The following is a 22,528-nucleotide window of genomic DNA, read 5'->3' on the forward strand; positions in this document are numbered from 1 at the left end:
ATGGATGCATAGTCACAGAACATCATACGCTTTTAGTTAAAATATTTCATACTGTTGGCCAAGGGTCTGTAGCTCCAGAAGTAAGCAAGAGATCAATCAGACCAGCTGAGGTTAACTCTTTCACAAGTTTAAACTACTTGAGTAGAAACTATGCGTAAGCATAGAAAGCTGCTAATGGAAAGAGATCCACAGAGGAGATAGAAGCTAAAAGTGAACTAGAATGAGCAGAAGGTGGGGAATGGGGGAGATGCAAGGTTTTAGGGCTTTTTCCATCTTTAATGACTTTTCAGATCCCATTCCATTTTCTCTTTATTCAAGCAAGCTAAGTAAATACTTGTTCTTTATAAAACAAAGAAGAAAAAACAATACTCCAGGTTGACCTTTCTAAATATGGCAATTACATTTCTCTGATCTGAATTCCTGAGAGAAATATTAAAGTTTAAGGGAGGCCTAATGAGCCATATCCCTTTGACTACAGATTCTGAAGAAATTCAGAAATTCATGAAAGCAAGAAGATAGACCTTAAAATATCAGTTTTTTACAAGGAAATGGATGAAGTAGAATAAGGGTAGGATGCACACTTTCTCCAAGCAACAGTTCCAAAAGGAAAATCCAGAAATATTTGAGTTAAGCATGTCCTTTGTCAGTCTCAGCAAACAAGTAAATCAATCCTCCTTCCTGGGAAATTATGAGTTACAAATAAAGAACAAACTCAAAGGGTCATTGTAACTGAAGCCCTCTCACATGAGAACAGAAGATTGAGTTGAAAGGAATATAATTGACATGATAGAAAATAATCGTGACTCATTAAAATATCACAGAAACTTTACTTTTGATTGAGGTTCTCTTTGTTCCACTCTTCCCTGTGAGCTGGCCCCTGGAGTTTCCTCAAATTCATTCACATATAATAACCTCCCTTAATAGAAGGGCAAAGGGCACCCCACACCACCTAGAGTAATTCACCTTACATGGCAAAACACTAAGTGAAATTTTGAATAATGAGGGTGGCACCAATCCTTCAGGCATCCAAGGCTCCTTGAGTTTGAGATAGAGACACGGATTTGCTCATGAAAATCAGCCTACCACTTTCCACTTTTGTAGCATATAAAAATCTAGCTGCAAACTCAACTTATTGAATGTTCAAGAATTAATCAGCTTCCCTTCACATTAGTCTGCAATTTATCTCTGTGCCTCCAAGATTCTTTCTGACACCACAATTAGGGAAGCTGAAATACTGAAATAAAAGCATCTACTATAGTCTCTTCTCTCCAGTTAGAAACACAAATTATTAGGAGAAATGTAGGAGACTGCCTGCAGAGATGTGTCTTCCAGTGCCTTGTAACGGACTTTTTTCATTAAATATCATGAGGAGTACTAATTGGCTCTTCTGGTATGCTCAGCCCTGCACCACACCAGAATTATTCTGGTGATAGCCATGTTAAGAAGCAAAAAGTAAAGTTGTGAGCTCAAGAGTGAATACAAATGTTAAATAATATCCATAACAGAAAATTTATGTAATGAAAAAAACTAATCATTTAAGAATTCTGATCAAATTGTAAATTCCCAGCTTATCAAGTATCTGGAATCAAGACAGGAGGTATAGAAATAAGGGAGTGACTTTGGGAGGCCGAGGTGGGTGGCTTACAAGGTCAGGAGTTCAAGACCAGCCTGGCCAAAATGGTGAAACCCCATCTGTACTAAAAATACAAAAAATTAGCCAGGTGCGGTGGCAGGCACTTGTAATCCCAGCTACTCAGGAGGCTGAGGCAGGAGAATCACTTGAACTTGGAGGGCGGAGATTGCAGTGAGGTGAGATCATGCCACTGCACTCCAGCCTGGGTGACAGAGTGAGACTCTGTCTCAAAAAAATAAAAACATAAAAAAATAAAAAAAATAAGGGAGTGGCTAGGGGCGGTGGCTCACACCTGTAATCCCAGCACTTTGGGAGGCTGAGGCAGGCGAATCACGAGGTCAGGAATCCCAGACCAGCCTGACCAACATGGTGAAATCCCGTCTCTACTAAAAATACAAAAGAAAAAAAAAATTAGCTGGGCCTGGTGGCATGCACTTGTAATCCCAGCTACTCGGGAGGTTGAAGTTTCAGTGAGCCGGGAGGTGGAAGTTTCAGTGAGCCGAGATCACGCCACTGCACTCCAGTGTGGGCGACAGAGCAAGACTCTGTCTCAAAATAAAATAAATAAATAAATAAATAAATAAATAAATAAGGGAGACCTAAGGCCCTCAATATAGGTAGATGGAATTCAAAAGATACTATTGCATTCTTACATTTCATATTTTTAGAAAGATTGCATAAATATTTTTTATATATAACCACAGTGTTAATTTAAAATGAGATATACAACTTTCTAAGACTTATACAAGTAAACAAAATATACGCTTGACCCTTGAACACATTGGTTTGAACTGCATGGGTTCATTTAATGCGAGTTTTCTTAAGATAACTGGGATAAAGGCCTTTATGATGATCCACTTCCACTTAATGAACTGTAAATATATTTTCTCTCTTTATGATTTTCTTAATAATATTTTCTTTTCTCTAGCTTATCTTATTGTAAGAATATAGTATATAATACATATAACATATAAAATATGTGTTAATCAACTGTTTATGACATTGATAAGGCTTCCAGTCAATAGTAGCCTATTAGTAGTTACATGCTGAGGAAGTCAAAAGTTATCTGTGAATTTTTTACTAAGCAACAGGTCAGCATCCTAACTTCCACATTGTTCAAAGGTCAAATTAAGTTAAATAACAAATCTGATCTTATTGACTCCATCTCTCCACAGTAGTGGCTGGAGTTTGGGTGACCTCCAGGAATGGAAGACCCCTCTCAATTCTCATGCAGAAGCCAGCCTGGGCTGGGTTTAGTGGCTCATGCCTGTAATCCTAGCACTTTGGGGGGCTGAAGCTGGAACATCACTTGAGCTCATGAGTTGGAGAACAGCCTGGGCAACACAGCAAGGCCCCATAAAAGAAAAAGAATTAAGAAGCCAGCCTGGTGAGGAAGCCCTCTCATGAAAGGGCACAGTAAGGCACTTCCAGTTCTAAAGTTCTCATATCCCATTGATATGTACTTTCAACCCACCTTCCTTACCTATGGTGATCATTTCTTCATTTTCAGTCCTGGTTTAGAAATACTTAATTGTGCTAGACTCTCTGCCATTTACTATAGTTCAATTCTTCTGAAAGCTGTAATCAAGGGTGGTCAGTGGTTCATTAGCCTTGTGGGAATCCCCCTACTCCCCACCCTTTAACCCAGCTGTAAAGTATCTCATTAGCCCAAAGCTCATCTGATACCTATACTCATCTATTTTACCCTGTGATAGGCCAATCCACTAATTTTACATTTTCTTATCTTTTCCCTAAGAAACTGAAAATTTTAACACATCACACTAAAAGAATATCCTGTTTTGTTGTGTCATTAATTCTACTAAATTACGATATCCCTGATGTTTTCTTTCCATACATTTTTGTTCCCATTCTTTTTGATATGCCAAGCTTGTTGATGTAACACATGACATAATAATTGCTACGGCAAGAGAAATCACCTACCAACATTTCCAGTACTTTCTCAAGTCTTATCTAACCCAAATCCCAACATTATCCCAACAAGTCACTCCATATATTTTGATCCAAGTTATGGCTACCTGACCACGTCTGTCTGTACTGTTCATTTATCTTGCAAGCAGGTCTAGGTGTGCAGAGGTAGAATCATGTTCAAACAAAACTAGATACAAGCAGCTTACAAAACTAAATAAACAATGTACAGTACTGAGTTTTGAGATAAAAATGGGTAGAATATACATAGATAAGCATAGAAAACAGACTACAATATACATTTAAACATTATCTGTGTTGCTATTGTGGGGGCAAGATTATCAATCTTTAAAAAATTATTGCTCTTTGAATTTTAGCAGTTCAATATTTTATATGTATTATTTTACGATATAAATAATTCATATGTAGATATAATCTATAAATAGATACAATACTTAAATAAATACAATATGTAAATAAATACATATTTCTCAATAAGTTCTAAAATAGGTTAATAGAAAATCATGATATAAAATTTATTTTATTCATTATCCCAGAAATAGAGTGATTACATTCTATAATATGAAAAAGACATATAGACCTTTATCACTTACAACAAAGTCACTTCTATAATTTCTTTTTGAACATTCATTTTTTCTATCCATCAACCCAGAAGAATAAGTGCACTCAGATTTGTGTTTCTTCTTTGCCAAAATGTGAGGTATATGAAATCCTACCTTTATTAATATTATGAAACATGCCAAAATATACACTTTCAAATTAGTATTATGTTTCAGTCTTCTCAGCCAAGAAACAGGTAGTACCCTAACTGAACAATTTTAACAAAAAGGCCTTTTGAGATGTGGTGATGCTATTAACAGATGCGCCACAACAAAATCCTGAGTTATTGGCTATCTTCAAGTCTAAAGCAAGGCATTCCATATTGTGATTTATAATTTTAAGTGGACTCAGCAATCATCCCTCCCAGGAGAGTTGAAATCAAATCCATCACAGACAATTAAGGTAAACAATCAATGCTACCAAGAAAAATACAATTCCCAAAAGTAGATCGAAACTGCTCACGGACAAATGCTCAAATGAAACATTTTTACTCCTTCTCACTATGTGGAGAGACCAATCTAAATTACCATTGTCATAAAATATTTTATCATCAAAATGCAAAGGATAAGCAATCTGAAATAAGCAATGCAAGAGAAGTCTAGTGTTGCATTTTAATAAAAGCATTAAAAGTAACATCTGGGGTGTGCATATCAGCTTTTTTGATGTCAAAGATAAATTACTATTCCACAAGGACAATAGCTCTAACTTCCACCATTAATGGAGAAAGAAAATAAAGAAAAACAACATTGATTAAGGGCATTATTTATAAATGTGGAGGTAATGTTCAAGTTGAGATTTCACGGCATTTCTTATGGGCTCAGAGCAAATTGTACAAGGTTAAGAGAAATGTTAATATCCAAATAGAAATACTTTCCAGACTCAGTCCCCTGCTGCTACCATCCCAGTCTTCTTACTGAACTCTAAGCCCACTACTGCTCCCATGCTTGGTCCCTATTCCTCTCACTCACCTTGCTCCTCCTATTCAAACCTTAGTCATCTTCCAAAACACAGGTTAAGACTTACCTCTTTCCTAAAACTGTTCTCTTCCACAGCAATATTTGCCTTTTATAACCCCTTCTGTACCCACTCTCTATTGTTTATAACCCCTTATATACTTTCTGTGCAGATGGAGAGATCTTTTACTGGTTTCTATGTATTGACTATGTAACCACAATTAAATGGTAAGCTGCTTGAAGGCAAGCCCTCTGTTTATTCACTGAGCCCCTGAATGTTTCCTTCAACATCGTTGTTATAATATTGATGAGAAAAAATTGATTCCGGGCCAGGGCCACGGTCTGTGTGCAGTTAGCACATTCTCCCCTTGTCTGAGTGGGTTTTCTTCGGGTACTCTAATTTCCTCCTACATCCCAGAGATGTTCCCATTAGGTGAATTGGTTTGTCTATATAGTCCCATTCTCAGTGAGTGTGAGTGTATGAGTGCACCCTATGATGGAATGGTGTCCTGGCCAGGGCTGGTTCTGTTCTTGTGCCCTGATCTGCTGGGATAGGCCCTGGCCACCTCCACCCTGAAATGGAATAAGTGGGTTTAAAAATGAATACAAATGATTGACAAGTAAACATTTGTCAAGTATACTATAATTCTACAAATGCACTACAATAAACAATGTAGTCCAAGAGTGCTTAGCAAGCCACCATATTTGTTATTGGTTGTTTTCTAGCTTCTTGGTGGAAGGAAGTGATCTTTAAAATTTTTGTTTTGTAAACACCGATTCCTTGATTTAATTTATCACCACCATGACTGCTCTCATTCACCAATTCACCAAAATTGGGTAAATCCTTACCTTACTTGTTTTGATTCTTCTTTTCTTAAATATATGTATAGCTCAATTTTTAACATTAGAAATGTGTTGGGTCTTTATTTAGAAGTTTGGTGATGTTTTTGTGACCAGAAATATGCCACTGGAGTATGTTTTTTTTACACCAGTTAGCCCATGGTAAAATTGGTTTTGTTTTACATTGTTTCACTTAAAGTTGTTAATTCTGAGACTAAAATCAGTGTGCAGGAAGTTTGAACTCAGAATCAGAACATGCAGGGAAGGCAGAGAGAGAAATCAGGTTATGGTAAAGGCATAACAAGAATTCAGCTGACCCTATAAGGAGCTCTGAAATTCAGCTGGAGCATAAAAGCTGTTCCCCATTGCAGTTGGGAGCCGGGCCTTTATATTCCCTTACCCACATCACAGGTCACAGGATGCTGGCTACCCCAGAAAGGGACGTGATCTTGGGGGAGATAGCCAACTCTGGCCAAGGCTAACCAGGTGAGACTGAGAGCTGAGGACAGTCTCCCAGAAATTAAGCAAACAGGCTGTTACTTCCTGGGTGGGGAGTCCATGCAGCACATCACATCACTTGTCTAACCTTCCTTTTATATGATACATTGTTGTGAATGTCACCTAGTTTGTTTGTTTGCTTACATTTAAACTTTCATTTCTGCATTCCATTCTCCTTTTCGCTTTGAGGTGACTTCTGAGAGGAAAAGTAATAGGGCCTTCTGGAGAGTGAACTACTATAGTTCTACTACATTGGTGCAATTGCATGCAATTGTTGAGGACCATTTGAGGATCCCACAGAAAGGGTCTAGCTCTGCATTTTCTTGAAAAGATTCCACCCAAAAGAACTTTTTTTTTTTTTTTTTTTTTTTTTTTTTTTTGGGAGATGGAGTATTTGCTCTGTTTCCCAGGCTGGAATGCAATGGCGCCATCTCAGCTCACTGCAACCTCTGTCTCCCAGGTTCAAGTGATTCTCCTGCCTCAGCCTCCTGAGTAGCTGGGATTACAGGCATCCACCACCATGCCCAGCCAATTTTTGTATTTTTAGTAGAGATGAGGTTTCTACTAAACGAGGTTTGGCCAGGCTGGTCTTGAACGCCTGACCTCAGGTGATCCACCTGCCTCGGCCTCCGAAAGTGCTGAGATTACAGGGGTGAACCACCACACTAAGCCCCAAAAGAACTTTTCCTCAGAAACCATAAGAGAATTGAAGATGTACTTTCAAATACCAAAGCTGATGGATGGCAGTGGGGCAGATTGGTAATTGATCAGCCAAAAAGACCTGATACTTATGCCAGAGAACTGTAGGCTGAAGTCCCCAATTATCTTACTGTGAAATTTCATCTAGCTTTAATAATCATGTAAACATTCGAAGTTATTACCACCAACCCCTACACAGGCCAAATTTATCCAAAAAACACCTCTCCCATATGAACTATCAAATCTGTGTCCATAATGACACAACATGCATACTGAAGGCACTTAAAACAATAACTTCAGGTCCACTCATAGGTGCCATGGGCTCCATTAGTTGCACTGAAATACTAATTTTCTAAAAGATACCACAGAGACTTTTAGAAGTCTATTGACCTTCAAAAAATGAGTCTTCCCACTGTATCCTCTTGCAGATCAGATGTAATGTAATGTATTTCAGCTCGTTTCAAGAATAACGGCAGGTCTACTCTTAAGAAGTAGTGTAAGTAAAGAGACATTTAAAAAATTAAAGCAACATTAAAAGTGGAGGCTAAATATTGGAGAGCATATCTTGGAAAAATAAAATTTGTTGCATCTTAGCAAAATCATTGAATCAGTCAATACCCCTGCTCAAGTAAATAAAGGATTTATGGCAGATCTAATAATACAGACAATAAGCTCAGACAATAAGCAAATGGACCAGGAAGTGCAGGAAGTTGAAGCTTCAGGACACCTCATTGCCACTCGACCCTAGGTCACTTTAAAGACCCTATATTTACTTTCAAAGTTCTGTATTATTTTTCATAAAGAGGACCCCCAAAGTTGTATAAACCTGTTGCACAAAACCTGAATACTCCTCCTGCTAAAAGCCTATAGAAATACAAAAAGCTAGTATTATGTGAAAAAGTAAGAGGTATTTGTGTCTCATGGTGATTTCCATCCCCCACATACAATAGTCACTCTTTGGATATCCTGAAATAAAATGTCACAAAATATGCATCTATGATATGAAACACCTAACTCAACGCTGAGAATTGTCATCATAGCAACCAATTTAGATACTCAGCTTAAAAAGCGAATACATGTGAAGGTAAGTAGTATTTTTTAAACAATTTTTTTTGTTTAAACAGGTATTGAGTTGAACACATACTATGGGCTATGCACAGTATTAGGCCTTCGGGAAATAAATTTCAAATGAACAGCAGAGTTCAAACGAGCAGAAGCACTTTGTTTGAAATATGAATAGGCAATGTGCAAAAATTACAGCTTTAACCAATAAGCCTATAGTCTTTATGAATTTGGAGGAAATAAAAATAAAAAGACTTCTAAAGAAACATCTATGTGTCATAGGATTTTTTATTTATGTCATCATAGAAGTTTCATGCTCTGTAATGCATTTTCTATCTCTTCCATCTATTTGGCCTCACACACACATAGGCCATACTTTTTATTGAGGGTTAATGACTTTGGGGTCACGATTCTGCAAGATGGACGTGCCAACAGCATTGGAGAGCAAGTAGAGCAGTAACAAGTAAATCATTCATTCATTCATTCATTCATTCAACAAGTGTATGTTAAGTACAGCGTCTGCCATGTGCCATGCACTGTGCTATGTGCCAGACACGCACTAGTGGGCAGAGAATGAATAACAATTTTAATACATCTGATTACAGATTATAAAATGAGATAAACAGGATGTCTTGAGGATATATGGGAAAACTATGGAATCCAGAGATAACTGAGAGGAAGTTCAGAAAAGACTTCCCAGAGTAAATGATATCTCACTTGAATCCCCAAAATAGCAAAAGTGTTCCACGGGTTGAAAAACAGTCAAAATATTTAGAACATAGAATGGATTGAGAGAAGATAGAATGGGGTAGGAGAAAGCCAGATCACCAAAACTCTGCCTTTTCATTTTAAGGGATTTGCAGTTTACCTAAGGACAATAAAAAGAAAGATACTATGATATTTGGAAGCAGCCCTGAATCAACATTCTGTCTCCAATAAAAATTAAATGATGTGAACTAAAGCGTAATATTTAACTTGTCAGAGCCTCAGTTTTTTCATCAGTAATGGATGAATAATAACTTATTAAATGATGTTGTGTGAAGCAAATATGATAATAGATGAGAAAGTAGTATGGAAAAAAATGTATAGACATGTTCTACAACTATAAGATGCCATTATTGCATGAATGATTGTGAATTGCGTTTAGGAAATGACATCAAAATTGAAGACAAAGTGCAATGATAACCAAAGGCCACTCAACCAAGAGGAACTATGCTTTCTTCAATGCAGTTGATGTATGGCAGAGGATGAAGTGTGACAGCACAGCCAGTGCAGTCAGCACATTCCACTGCATCACAGCACGCGGCGTGGCAATGCAACCAGGTCTTTTTCCAACTCCACAAAGATCCAAGGGTATTCAGAAGGACTTTGCTGAATTCACACATTTTGCAGTGCAGTCATGCATGTTGGGAAGGTTCTATGTGTAATCCTATGAAGGTTACTTTTCTAAATTAAAAGGATAACACTGAGGGACATATTAGGATTCAATCATCATAAACATACTAGCAGATTGAGAGCTTCTCTCTGTCTCTCTAATCAAATGTAACACTATAGTGATCCTGTAAGTTTGAAGTGAATATTAACTCCATTTGAGAAACTGAAGTTAAGACAAGTAGCTTGTTTAATATTATACCACCAATAAGTGTTTGAAATGATATTTGAACCCATTATTGTCTGACTCCTCTATCATGTACAAACTTACGTAGTAAGATACAGCACCATGAGAAATATAGAGACTTGTACTTCTGGGTTAAAATAGTGTCTCCAATGCAATGCAATCATCCCCAAATAAACACTCTCCTGTCAATTAGAACAAGGGGAAAGGCAAAAAGTACTATCAAAAAATACTGCTAAAAATTAAGATATATACATAGAATAGCACTAGACTCTAGGAGGATTTCCTTTCAATGTAAGATTATTTGGATTTTGATTTAGAAAGACTCATGAAATTGAATGTAAATCAACCGAAGTTCAACCAGGCCTTACTGCCATAAGCCTCCTTTGAAGTCATAAAAATGCATCCCTATGTACCCCAAAGCTGTATTTCATTTTGAAAGATAATTAGATTGATAAGATATTTGTGTAAACATAAAGCATTTGGATTTTAGCCAGACATTGGACAAGGCCTGTTTATTAGACTTGTGGATAAGTTGAAGAAACATGAATGAGTAACTTTAAAGTATACATAATTCAACCATACACTCAGTGGGAAATGCTTAATGGATTGATAGCCACTTGTACAACTAGTAGCTGCTTTGTATTAATATCCCAAAAGGGAAAATGTTTACCAAATTATAAAATGGCAGCAAATGAGAAATAAGATCTCACTGGTTTGACTGCAGAATCAGCGCCTGCAAGTACTGAATAATATGAAATGTTAATAGGGACAAATAAAACTCCTCTGGGAACCAAAAACTAAGTGCAACAGTATTGGAGTGAAAATTACTGACGGTCAATTATCCATATCAAGAGTTCACTTTAGAGAACACAGTGGAAAGGAAGGCAATAGGTCTCTGCAGACCGTGGCGTGGAGATATCAAAGTAGGCAATGACAAGTCAGTTACTGAAATAAAATCACAGTGCCTATAACCTCGAAGCAAGATTCTCACTGTCACATGCAATAGTGTGCCCTGTTCAGTACTCCACCTCTAAAGACACCACTGGCGAATTAGAAGAGAACAGGTTGATCAAGAGCTGAAAACCAAGTACATAATTAAAATGCCAAGAAATTCAAGTCAAAAGGCAAGATCTTTAAGTCTAAAATCACCAGAAGACTCTCTTGCTTCTTTTGATAGTAAATCTGTCGTTTCATTATGGGTAAATGGTGGTCTGGCAATGTTTGTGTGGTGGCAGCAATTGAGAGGACGTGGAGAGAATGCGTTGTAATAATGAGTGAACACCTCTATAAAATCCCTGAAATTCCTCCTCTGAATGAGGCTTGGGACATCACATTGCTTGCTCTCATGAGGTTCACAGGCTCTGAGGGCTCAATAAAACCTTCTAAGTTGTACAAATATCTTTGCCTTTTTTATATTACCCTGAGCCCCTAAGGAATTGTGCAATAAGAGAAAACTCCTTATCTTGGTAACAAAAGACATTCGTAAACATTTGATGAATAAGTTAATAAAAGATAATTAATTCTGCGAGGGTAGAGAGGCAGAGCATTCTTACCAGACTACCCTAAAATTAAATGGAGATGTTAAGATTCTAGCTGAATACTTGTTGAGTATTTTAAAAAGGAAATTAACGTTAATAGATTAAGTAGGGTAAGGTAACTATCTTGAGATTCTTGATTATAAATACTTCTAATGACTTTGAAAGGAGTTCTGAGGAACAAAATACACACACACACTCTCTCTCTCTCTCATACACAAACAAATACACACACACACAGTGTGAGCCAATTAGTATAACTAGAGGGAGTCCTCAGGACAGCCCAGTGCCAGCAGCATAGAACCTTCTCCCTAAACAAAATCTCATCCCAGGTCTCCAAACTTCCCCTCACGATTTCCTTGCTCTTTCCTTACTACCAAATTTGAACCTAGTTTTGTCCCATTTTAAGACATTAAATGGGTGCAAGACATTTCCCTTTGAAAATGTGTTAAAGGACTAGATGCTTTAGGGAACATCTTCCGTTTAAAGACATACGTGTGAGGTCCACGCTGGAGCACTGAATTGGGGGAAGGCAGTGTACTCCTCCATAGCACTGCCCTACTTCCTTGCAGAGTTCTGCCATTCCTCCATTTAAAATATACCCTTCGGCAAGAAAATGCAATATGATTATGGACAAATCACTTTGATTTGCAGTCTTTGACTTTTCCTCAGTCAAGTACACAAAAGCTAATGCCCTGCTTTCCTTGTGAAGAAAGAAAGGGGAGGGGAACTTTGCCTGTCAAAGCATTTCATACAGTAGCTGATTAGAGTAGTATGTGTTTTGTAAAGAAATGGGGTCCTTTTCTTCATCCTCTCAGCAAAGCTTTATGCCCACACTACCTCTTGGAGCCTGGCTATGGATAATTTAGTAGCTTCAAATTGTATACTGCATCAAAAACTCCCATTAATCTTATATTCTTATGGCTACCACTATTTTATTTTTCTTTGTGTCATGAATCTCTCAACTTATACTTGGCAGCAGAAAGGAAACCAAAACTGACATTTGTTACTGAACGCATTGGCTAAACCTTTCCCCAGGGTTACCAAATCAGAAGAAGGACTACACTCAAAAAAATTCAAAGCCACTTCCATATAAAATCTTCCCAACCTTAAGGTCTTTCTCTCAACCTGGTTCTAGAGGGATTTATGCTTGCAAGTTTTACCTCCCTGAGTAAAAATAACTGCAAAGCAAGCAGTATCTAAATAGCACATACAGAATTGAAAGAGAAACAAACAGAAATTAGGAGAACTAAGAAATAAGACACTCGGGAAAAAAAGCTAATGCTCATATGTTATTCAAAGGGAAAACATAGTTGGTGTGCCTCGGAAAAACCTCTTTAGGAATATAAAAGAAATGCCGTGAACAGGATGCCACATCAACAGGAGATACATACTGTTAATAAACGTTCCTGATGGTTATTAAAGTAAATATCATCTTTTGTTCAATTTTAAGAGGAAAATGTATTTCATTTTAAATAAGTTTTTTAAAATTCAATTTAGTGATACACAGAACTTACATTTAAATAATATAAAATGCTGTTGTAATAGGATATTTGGCTTATTATCAATAATGTCCCAAACATCATTTATTACTTAAAGGTAGATTTACTAAGCAATTAGCCAAGAGAACATTCTAATTAAAAATTAAATCCATGTTCAAATAAGCATAATCAAATATTCACTATAATTCTCTAAAACACATTAATAGCTACAAGAGTATGTGGTTTTATCATATATTTTTTTTAAAAAAAACTCATCATCTCTACAGCGAAACTACTCTGAAAATATACTCAGAAATCACCTTTCTTGGGAGGCTGAGTAATACTTTGAATCAACGTGGTTGCATGGCGTGCCTTTAATTTCTTCTTAATGGAAGGTAGAAATTAAACAGCCATAAATAGGGGAGTACAAACCTGGAATGTGTAGAAGACTCTGGAGCCAGACTACCTGGTTCAAGACCTTATTCGCTGCCTGACCTTAGATAAGTTACTTACCATTTTCACAACTCAGTTTTCTTATGGGTAAAACGGGACTCATAACAGCAACACTTCACAAGGTTATTGTAAAACTTAAGCTAATATATGTGAAGCCCTTAAAAAGATACCTGGCACATCACATTCTTTGCAGCAATGTGGATGCAGCTGGAGGCCACTGTCCTAAGCTAATTAATGCAGAAACAGAAAACCAAACACCACATGTTCTCATTTATAAGAGGGAGCTAAACATTGAGTACACATGGACATAAACATGGGAACAATAAACACTGGTGACTACTGGAAGGGGGAAAGAGGAAGGGAGGCAAGGATTGAAGAACCACCTATTGGGTACTATTCTCGCTACTTGGGCGATGGGACCATTTGTACAACAAACCTCAGCATCATGTAATATACCCACGTAACAAACCTGCACAAGTCCCCTTGAATCAAAAATAAAAGTTGAAATTATTTTTTAAAAAGATACCTGGCACATAGTCAGTGCTCAACAGATCTAAGCTGTTATTGAGATAGGAAGATGGCCTACAGCAGAAAACTGAGTAGGGTTAGCATGAAGCTCCTGAGAATGCGGTTTAATCCTGTGTGACTAGCCATGCTTATTTAACCTCTCTGGGCCCCCACCTTCTCATCTTCAAATAAAGGTAACTCCAGTTTATACCCCACAGATTGTTAAGAGGATTGAATGGAGGTAATGGGGCTGAGTTCATTGTTAGGATTCAGCTGGGGAAGCTCACACTAAACAACGTGACATACTTCAAATGCAGAGGGACAGACACACTTCAGATGTGGCACAGGGCCTTGGTACTATCTGCTCTACATGTGAGAAAGACTTTTTGCCCCTATGCTTATTGGAAATATTCAAGGCAATTTTATTCATCTTTATTTTTTCTTTTACATGAAGTTAAAAGCAAAAGATAGTGCTCCCAAAGACCTGCCAGTAATATCAGCTGTTTTGTCTAATACTGCAGCTTTCAGCAAATCATGCTCAGACACCAAAGTAAAGGGGGCATGGTCTGGTCATCTCATTTTCTTAGCTGGATGAATTTACAGCTATTAGAATATAGTCAAATGTAAATGAATTACCTGTGCTTCATGGAAAAGAAGTGGAAGAGGTTTTGCATCTCTGCTTACTTATCCCTTCACAATGCACTCACTAAAATGGTGACACCACTTGGAACTGCAATCACCTTCTACCAACTATCGAAGATGGCAATGAGTGAAACGGCATTTTATTCAAGTTCTAAAGGCCAGTGTGTCTCAATCCAGGCTGACCCAGAAAAATGCTAGGAGAAGGAGTTCCGACGTGGGCACACCGTGAGGCTTTGGTTTGTCTGATCTGACTGCTAATGTACATGATTTTGAGTCATCTCTGTTACCTGGGCACTTTCTCTGCAGAGGAAACACAGCAAAGCCTTTCCTCACAGACTTAAATATCAGTCAGAAAAACGGTTTCAATGGGTACCAACTTGGACAAGATTCCAAACAGAGGTGATGCGGTCTGATGGTGGGATTGGGTGGAGACCCTCAATTTCTGCAACCTTCTTCAGGGCTTCCTGGACTTTGTCTCCCTTTGATTTTAGGTGGATAACACAGGTGAAGAAAATGGGATCATTTTGTCTAGAAGATTTAGGTATCAGCTAGTCATGGCAGAGAACAAGGTGGCATGGATATGAATGAAGAGTCAGAGATTTGGCAAATTCTACCACTCTCATTTGCAAATGTAAAGGCAGTGCCTCACTCTGCTGTTTAGGCCTGAATCAGTGACCTTTCTCTTTGCTAAAGATTATCATTCTTTAAGGAGGCTGTTCCTACTCATGCCTGCACTCCGATCTAAGTTAGATATCCTATTTATATACTCCCTGTGGTAGGCAGAATTACATAACGGCTCCCAAATTTCCCCCTAAAGTACATGCTGTGTATAATCCCTGGGACCTTTGAATATGATAAGGTAGTCTGTTCTGTGATGGGGTTATATGACACAATCCACTTTAAGAAAAGCAGATTATCTTGAGTAAACCTGAGGTACTCACATGAGCCCTTAACAAGGACTAGACTCTTCCTGAAGAAAGAGATTTGAAGGATGTGGGGCATTTAAAATGAGAGATCATCCACTGCTGGCTTTGGAGGTGGAGAGGCCCCATATGGCATGGAATATGGGCTGAGAGCCACCCCGTCATTGACAGCCAGCAAAGAAATGAGGACCTTATTCCTCCAGCTGCAAGACACTGGGTGCTGCTATAACCAACCACATGAGCTTGGAAAAGTACCCCAAACTCCAGATGAGAATGCAGCTTCGCAATGACTTGATTTAGCCATGTTATGAGACCCTGAGCAAAGAACCTAGTCATGCCACACCCGGATTTGTGACCTACAAAACTGTGAGCTATTAAGTGGATGTTGCTTTAAGCTGATGCATTTGTGGTAACTAGTTATACAGCAATACAAAATTAATACATGTCCATAGGACCTTGTACTTACCTTCCAAAATACTCATCCATGGCATTCATCCTTAGGGTGTGTGTGTGTGTATGTGCGTGTGTGTTCTGCACTTGACAGTAAGCTGTATGAAGGCAGGGAATATATCTTTCACTCACTCTTCTGTCCTCAGCACCTAGCCTAGTGCCTACAATAAAATGCTCAATACCTGTAATCCCCGCAGTTTGGGTGGCTGAGGCGGGCAGATCACCTGAGGGTAGGAGTTCGAGACTAGCCTGACCAACATGGAGAAACCCCATCTCTACTAAAAATACAAAATTAGCAGGGCATGGTGGCACATGCCTGTAATCCCTGCTACTCGGGAGGCTGAGGCAGGAGAATTGCTTGAACCCAGGAGCTGAAGGATGCAGTGAGCTGAGATCGTGCCATTGCACTCTAGCCTGGGCAACAAGAGCAAAACTCTGTCTCAAACAAAACAAAACAAAACCTCAATGAACATTTGTTTGTGAATAGTGCATATATTAATGAATCCTTTTAAATCACATTATTTTTCATTAGATAAATCGATGTATTTCTATCATGAAGTCAGAGTGATACAGTTTTCATTTACATTAAATTGTATTGCTTTCATTTACATCCTAGTTTCTTGATCTAAAGTGTTTCTTTCATTAATGTTTTTTGTTTGGTTTTTGAGATGGAGTCTTGCTCTGTCACCAGGCTGGAGTGCAGTGGCATGATCTCAGCTCACCGCAACCTCCACCTCCCAGGTTCAAGTGATTCCTCTGCCTCAGCCTCCCAAGTAGCTGGGATTACAGGCACGCGCCACCACGCCCAGCTAATTTTTTGTATTTTAGTAGAGACAGGGTTTCACCATGTTGGTCAAGATGGTGTCGACCTCCTGACCTCATCATCCAGCTGCCTTGGCCTCCCAAAGGGCTGGGATTACAGGTGTGAGCCACCATGCCTGGCCCATTAATATTAAATAGACTGAGGCTGCTCAGAGTCAGAAGGCATACCCATCATCTATGGGACATGCTCTATGGGGTACATTCTGCCCACTCTTTGTTTTCTCTCCAGGCCCAAGCCCTACACTCAAGCTGTGAGCAGCATACTGAGTGTCAGAATGCAAAATAAGTGTACACAGGCGGTCCAGGCCATTTGAATCAAAATGATGTATGATACTTTTCTTGGAGAAGGCTTCTTTTTTCATTACCTCCTACGTCTCACTCTTTTCTCCTAATGTTTCTTTCTCATCTGCCCTGTAATTGTCAACTCACCCTGCCAAGTTATATCTTGCTGAATACCTTAACTTCTGCCATTACCCAAGCCTGTCCCAGACTATCTTTACATTTAGGATTCTCGTCTGTCTATAGTGACTTTTGACATCTTCACTGCATAAAAATGTCATCGTATTTACCAAGACCTATATTAAATGCCAACTATACTTTAAAACTCTCCTTGGTCTTCCTTCTCCATTCTTTCCTATGTAGTACCCTAATTTCTGTGATGCCCATTCTATGAGAGGACTGCTCCCACACATATGAAGTCCTGTCTGAAACATGAGCCTTCAGGTTCAGGAATACGCCTAGAGTGCCAGTACCATTTAAGTGTTGATATATTCACCTACCGTTATACCTTTGTTTAAAGTTGAAAACAATTTACGGCAAGGCCATCAAAGAGTATGTGAAGAGTTAAATAAGAAACCTTGAAAGCAACAAGCCCTATTCTCTGGTTTAAGGGGGAATTTGTGGTTGGTGACACTGAAACTTCCATTAACCCACTTTCAATGGAGGCAAATGAATGGACATCAGAGTCTTGTCTGGTTTCATTCATGACACTTGAGCTGCTCCTCAGAACTTTCAAAAAAAGTTTATCAGCCCAGAAATACATTTTTAAAAGTAAAAGCAAAAACATGTGAAAAATTCCTCTCATAACAGTAAAACAACATTGTGATATTTCTTTGTTATATACCTGGTGGGGATGAGGCAGTGAAATACAGAGATCAGAGAGAAAAATGACCTGATATGAACTGACATTAATATATTTGGGGATACAGTGTCAAACCAATGTTTAATTTTGTTTTCCTAAGTAGGCCAAAGCAAGTTTACTAAATAACCAAAAATATCTAAATTTTACTAAGCACTTGCTATGTGTCAAATGCTCTGAAGGCTGTATTTAATTTAATCTCTTTATGGCACTTCTGAGGTAGGCAAACATTGTCATTCCCATTTTACAGTTGAGTTCAGTACTAGTCCAATGCCACATGGCTAGTCAATGTCAGAGCTGGCACGCAAATCCAAGTTTGATCCCAAAGGCTGTTATCTTACCCACTATGTTACAGGGTCATGAGAAGTGGAAAAGGCATGATTCCAAACTGATACAATGGGGCTTCCACACTGATCCCACACTGATACAATGGGGCTGCTCTGGGTGTCCACAACACCCACTAAAAGATAAAAGGCTTCAGAACTGGGCTGCAGCACCATGTTATGGAGTCATATGCTTGCTAATGTATGTTCTTTACCCACAAAAGAGAACTGGGCTAGACTCTCTGTGCTAAAAGTTATCAGAAAATAAATATTCTACCTTCCTTCCTTTGCCCTAATACACGGTTTCTCATCTTTGGCCTTATTTGCATTTTATTGTGGAAAACTGTCCTGTCCTATACACTGTACATTGTTTAGCAGCATCTGTTGGCTCCACCCACTAAATGACAGTAGCACCTTCCAACCAGTTGTGACCACCAAAATGTCTCCTAGAAGGCCAAACATTTCTAGTGGAATGAGAGGGAATAGCAGGGGGAAAAACACCCTCAGTTTAGAACCATTGTCCTAGTAGGATAAGTACTGAAATAGAAATTTTAAAACTCTGTGCTCAAGTCCTGCTGCAAGTCATAATTTTTCCTTGGTCTCCTTATCTGAAGAATACTGGTATATGTATTATCTAGAGCCTAGGGCTGTGGTAAGAGAAAAAAAATACAAAAATTAAGATGAGATAATGCCTATTAAAGTGGCAGCAGCAGCAGTAGGAATAGTAATATTTTAGCTCCCTTTATGAGTGATACAGACTTCAGAAAGAGTTGTAAAATGGAAAAAGCACTGAACTGGATATTGAAAAAGCTGGGTCCTATTCCTGGTTTTGACTCCAGCTACCTGTGTTTCCTGGGGAAAACACAGTATTATTATTACCACTATTATTATTATTATTATTATTAATTTACCTTACAACTTTCATTCCTCACATAGTAGTGCCCTATTTGTTTTGGAGAATTCTCTCTCCCTCACTGGCTGTAGTCACAGTGGGAAGGTAAACCCAGGTGCCTAGAAGCCCAACGGGCAGGTTCCTCCTCTCACCACCTCTGCACAACCATGAGGACAGCATGTGATCCACGCTCAGCCTACTTGCTCTTGCCCAGAGCTTTGACTCCTGATCAGGGGGACATGGATAAAAGTATCAGATGAATCCCATTGCATTCTCCCTAAAGACCATTCTTATGATTTTACCTCCTAGCCTTCCAAAATTGCCTTTTTCCATGCCTGGTTCTCCTCTCAGTTCTGTGAACTTCTAATATTCTTCTGTCTCTGTGTGTACCAATTGTCCCCAGTTATTATTTGTTCTCTTCTTCTGAAGTAATAGGGCCCCAATTTTAGTTTGCCTTGTTGCCAAGCAGAATAAAATCTGTATTTCTCATATATATTTAGGCATCTAGGTTGGGCTGTGCAATTAAGTTTGAGTCGTTTGGATGTAAGCACAAGTGATATGCATAAATTCTAAAACGTGTCCTCACGACGAAGGCATGCCTTCTTTTTTCCTCTCTTTTCCTATTTCTTGGAAGGTAGACATAATGGCTGGAGCTCCAACAAGCATCTTGGACCATGAGGTAATCTTGGGAATGGAAATTTTGCATGACAGAGCAAAAGATAGAGGATCTTGGTTCCCCGAGAGCATTATGCCAGACCTGGATTGATTATTTCTAAAATTCTTGAGTTTGATAGGAAAAATAACTTTCTGTCTTGATTATTATGACAGCTATTTCTGTCTCTTGCACTGAACATAAGGAATTCACCCTTTGCTTCAGTTATCTCTGGTTACTGTCTATTGCTTGCGCCTCTTTCAGGTGAAGGTGATAGAAAATCCAATTCAAACTGGCTTAAACAATAAGAAAAAATTACTGGCTTACAGAACTGCGAAGTCCTCAGGTAACCCAGGCTTCAGGCAAAATTCAATCAACATTTCAAACAATGTCACTAGAGATCAAGTTTCTTTTCCATCCTGCCTTCCATAATTTCAACTTCACTTTCAATTTTCATATGTTGATTTCCCAGCAGCTCCAGCAACTTTTTCTGAGCTGATTAGAATGGTTGACACAGTTCAAAAACTCACATTTCTTTTTCACACCTCTTCACAGGAAGAGAAGAGTCTCCTGCAGTCGTCCCTAAACAAAAAAAGAATCTCTCTCTCTCAAAACCAAAACCCAAACAAAACAGTCCTCAGGAAATATACCTTTACATTTTATTGGCAATATCTAGCTTATCATCGTCTTGTCCGTGAGCCAATCACTGATGCTGATTGGCTTCTATCAATTAGGCCCCACTCCAGAGACTGAAAAGTGGGTCATTTCTATACAAGCCACATAGCTTAAAATAGTTAAAATGGTTCCCCAAAGCAAAAGGTAGAGGTACTGGTCCGTCAAACAGAAATAGAAATATTTATTCAGCCCACGTGTAAAAGTTATGATAATTATGTCCAATAATTGTGGTGAAGACGTTTTGAAAATCTTTAATTGCTACGTAAATATGGAATACTATTAGTAATATTATAATGCATTGTTTCTCTCTTTTGTTCTTTTCCAACTGAACTTTCTTGGAGTTTGTGGCACTACATTAAGAGTAATAGGAGCCTATAATTTTATAGACTGCCTCAGTTTTTCAAAGCTAACATTTATGATATTATAATTTATTCTTTCAGCTACAACTGAAAATATTCTCCCCATTTCCTCTGATTGTAGTTTCATAGCTACAGCCACGGTATGATCTTTACCTCCCTCTAATGTCTTGGAGGTAGCTCACTAAGCCAAAGATTTTGAAATAAAAATATTACCAGAGAATAGGAGTGAAAAGTCATAAGAGTCTCTAATATTTTCTCCCTTTGTAGTCAAGGCTATCCTTTCAAGATGCACTTCTAACCACATCACATATGGAATTAAAATCCTTCAGTGGCTGCCTTACACTTGAGGGTTAACCGCTAGCAATGGTTAACCCCATGTAACTCCTAGCATGGCTTATACGGCCCAGCATAAGGCGGCCCTGGCTACGCCTCCACATCAGTCTCCCACCTCTGTCCCTTGTAGGCTTCTCTGAGGTCACATTGAACTACTCTAGGCTCCTGTGCCACAGTCTCTCTGTGGGCCAAAGTTATGGCTTGCTGCTCCCTTTGCCTGTAACATCCTTGCCAATCCTAGAGGCCCTGCCAGCACCACCAAGTGTCCCATCTAATGCATTATTTCTCATTCTTCCAGACTCAGCTTAGATGTCATTTTCTTTTTTTATTTTATTTTAATTATTATTATACTTTAAGTTTTAGGGTACATGTGCACAATGTGCTGGTTAGTTACATATGTATACATGTGCCATGCTGGCGTGCTGCACTTAAGGCAGCTTTCTTTCTGGAGCAGTGAGGCCTAATCTCATCTCCCATTATCTGGCTCACTAGTACAGTAGGCATCTATTTTCATAATCCTGACACTCACTCATTTAATGACTCTGTTTCCTAATATTTCCCCAAAAGTCTCAGGTCTGGGAGAATGTCTTTTTCTCAGCACTGTATCTTCAAAGCTTAGTACAGTGTCTAAAATATAATAGTACTAAATTAATATGTATTGAATCAATTAATTAATGAATCACCGAAGGCCCAGAGCATTTTTTCATTTCTATAATTGAAAAATTTATAGAGTTCTATGTAAGAAATTATATCTCAAATGGCCACCTACTAATGGTTAGAAAAATGAATAGCCATTTGGATAAAGGTTTCAGAGTAGAGAGGACTTTTTGAGTTTTAAGTTATATTTGTGACATCTTCAGTTTGATGTGCCGTGTTTACATCTGTGATTCCCCTCACTTTTTAGAATTTGAAAATATACTATTTTCTTTGATCTCATATTTAAAATGATTTTTCTAATACAAAGGATTTAGGATTTATTCTTCTTTTGATAACATTTATCAGCATTTTCTGAGATAACTGATAACTCCCTGGGCTCAAAAGCTTAGAGCTGAGATTCACTCAGTGAAATTTTAAGATTATCTATAATCCACCAAACCAAACCCAGCCCTAGGAGGTATGGATTGATGCCTTGGCTGTTCTGTCGCAAACCTCTCTGGCAAAGCACAGCAAGGAGACAAGTGTGGGAGGGCAGGAACAAGCAGCTCAGGACAGATCATAAACGACATCTAGGGTGGGAATAGGTCTTGAAGTTGTCATTAATTCCAGTTCAAAATAAGACACTTTTTCTTTGTCAACATTTTGCCTCTAAAATTGGGCATAAGAGGTTTCTAACCCTAGGACAAGGAATTCAACCATGATGGATAGGTGTTCCTGAAAAGCCATAAAGGGACAATTTGAGTCGTAAGGTTGACTCTGAGGCTGAACATTCAGGAGTCTCTTGTGACCCTTTAAATCTACTTTATAAGAGGAACATTTTAAGTTGATTTAGTGAG

At 38.4% G+C, this 22,528-nt stretch overlaps 1 long non-coding RNA gene across 2 annotated transcripts in view; it reads right to left on the bottom strand.

Moving 5' to 3' along the window:
- The window catches only part of LOC105374822 (uncharacterized), a 30,622-nt gene extending 15,790 nt beyond the window's left edge, over window positions 1-14,832 (bottom strand). Inside the window, exons 1-2 of one of the 2 annotated variants that reach the window (XR_940276.3) lie at window positions 14,463-14,832; window positions 3,117-3,211 (exon numbers count right to left, since the gene is read on the bottom strand). This is a non-coding gene — a long non-coding RNA (uncharacterized LOC105374822). The remainder of the gene's footprint in view (window positions 1-3,116; window positions 3,212-14,462) is intronic. The other variant, XR_940278.2, reaches the window with a different exon arrangement.
- Window positions 14,833-22,528: the final 7,696 nt, after the last annotated feature.

This window comes from Homo sapiens, chromosome 2 (genome assembly GCF_000001405.40).
Source record: "Homo sapiens chromosome 2, GRCh38.p14 Primary Assembly".
Taxonomy (NCBI): Eukaryota; Metazoa; Chordata; class Mammalia; order Primates; family Hominidae; genus Homo; species Homo sapiens.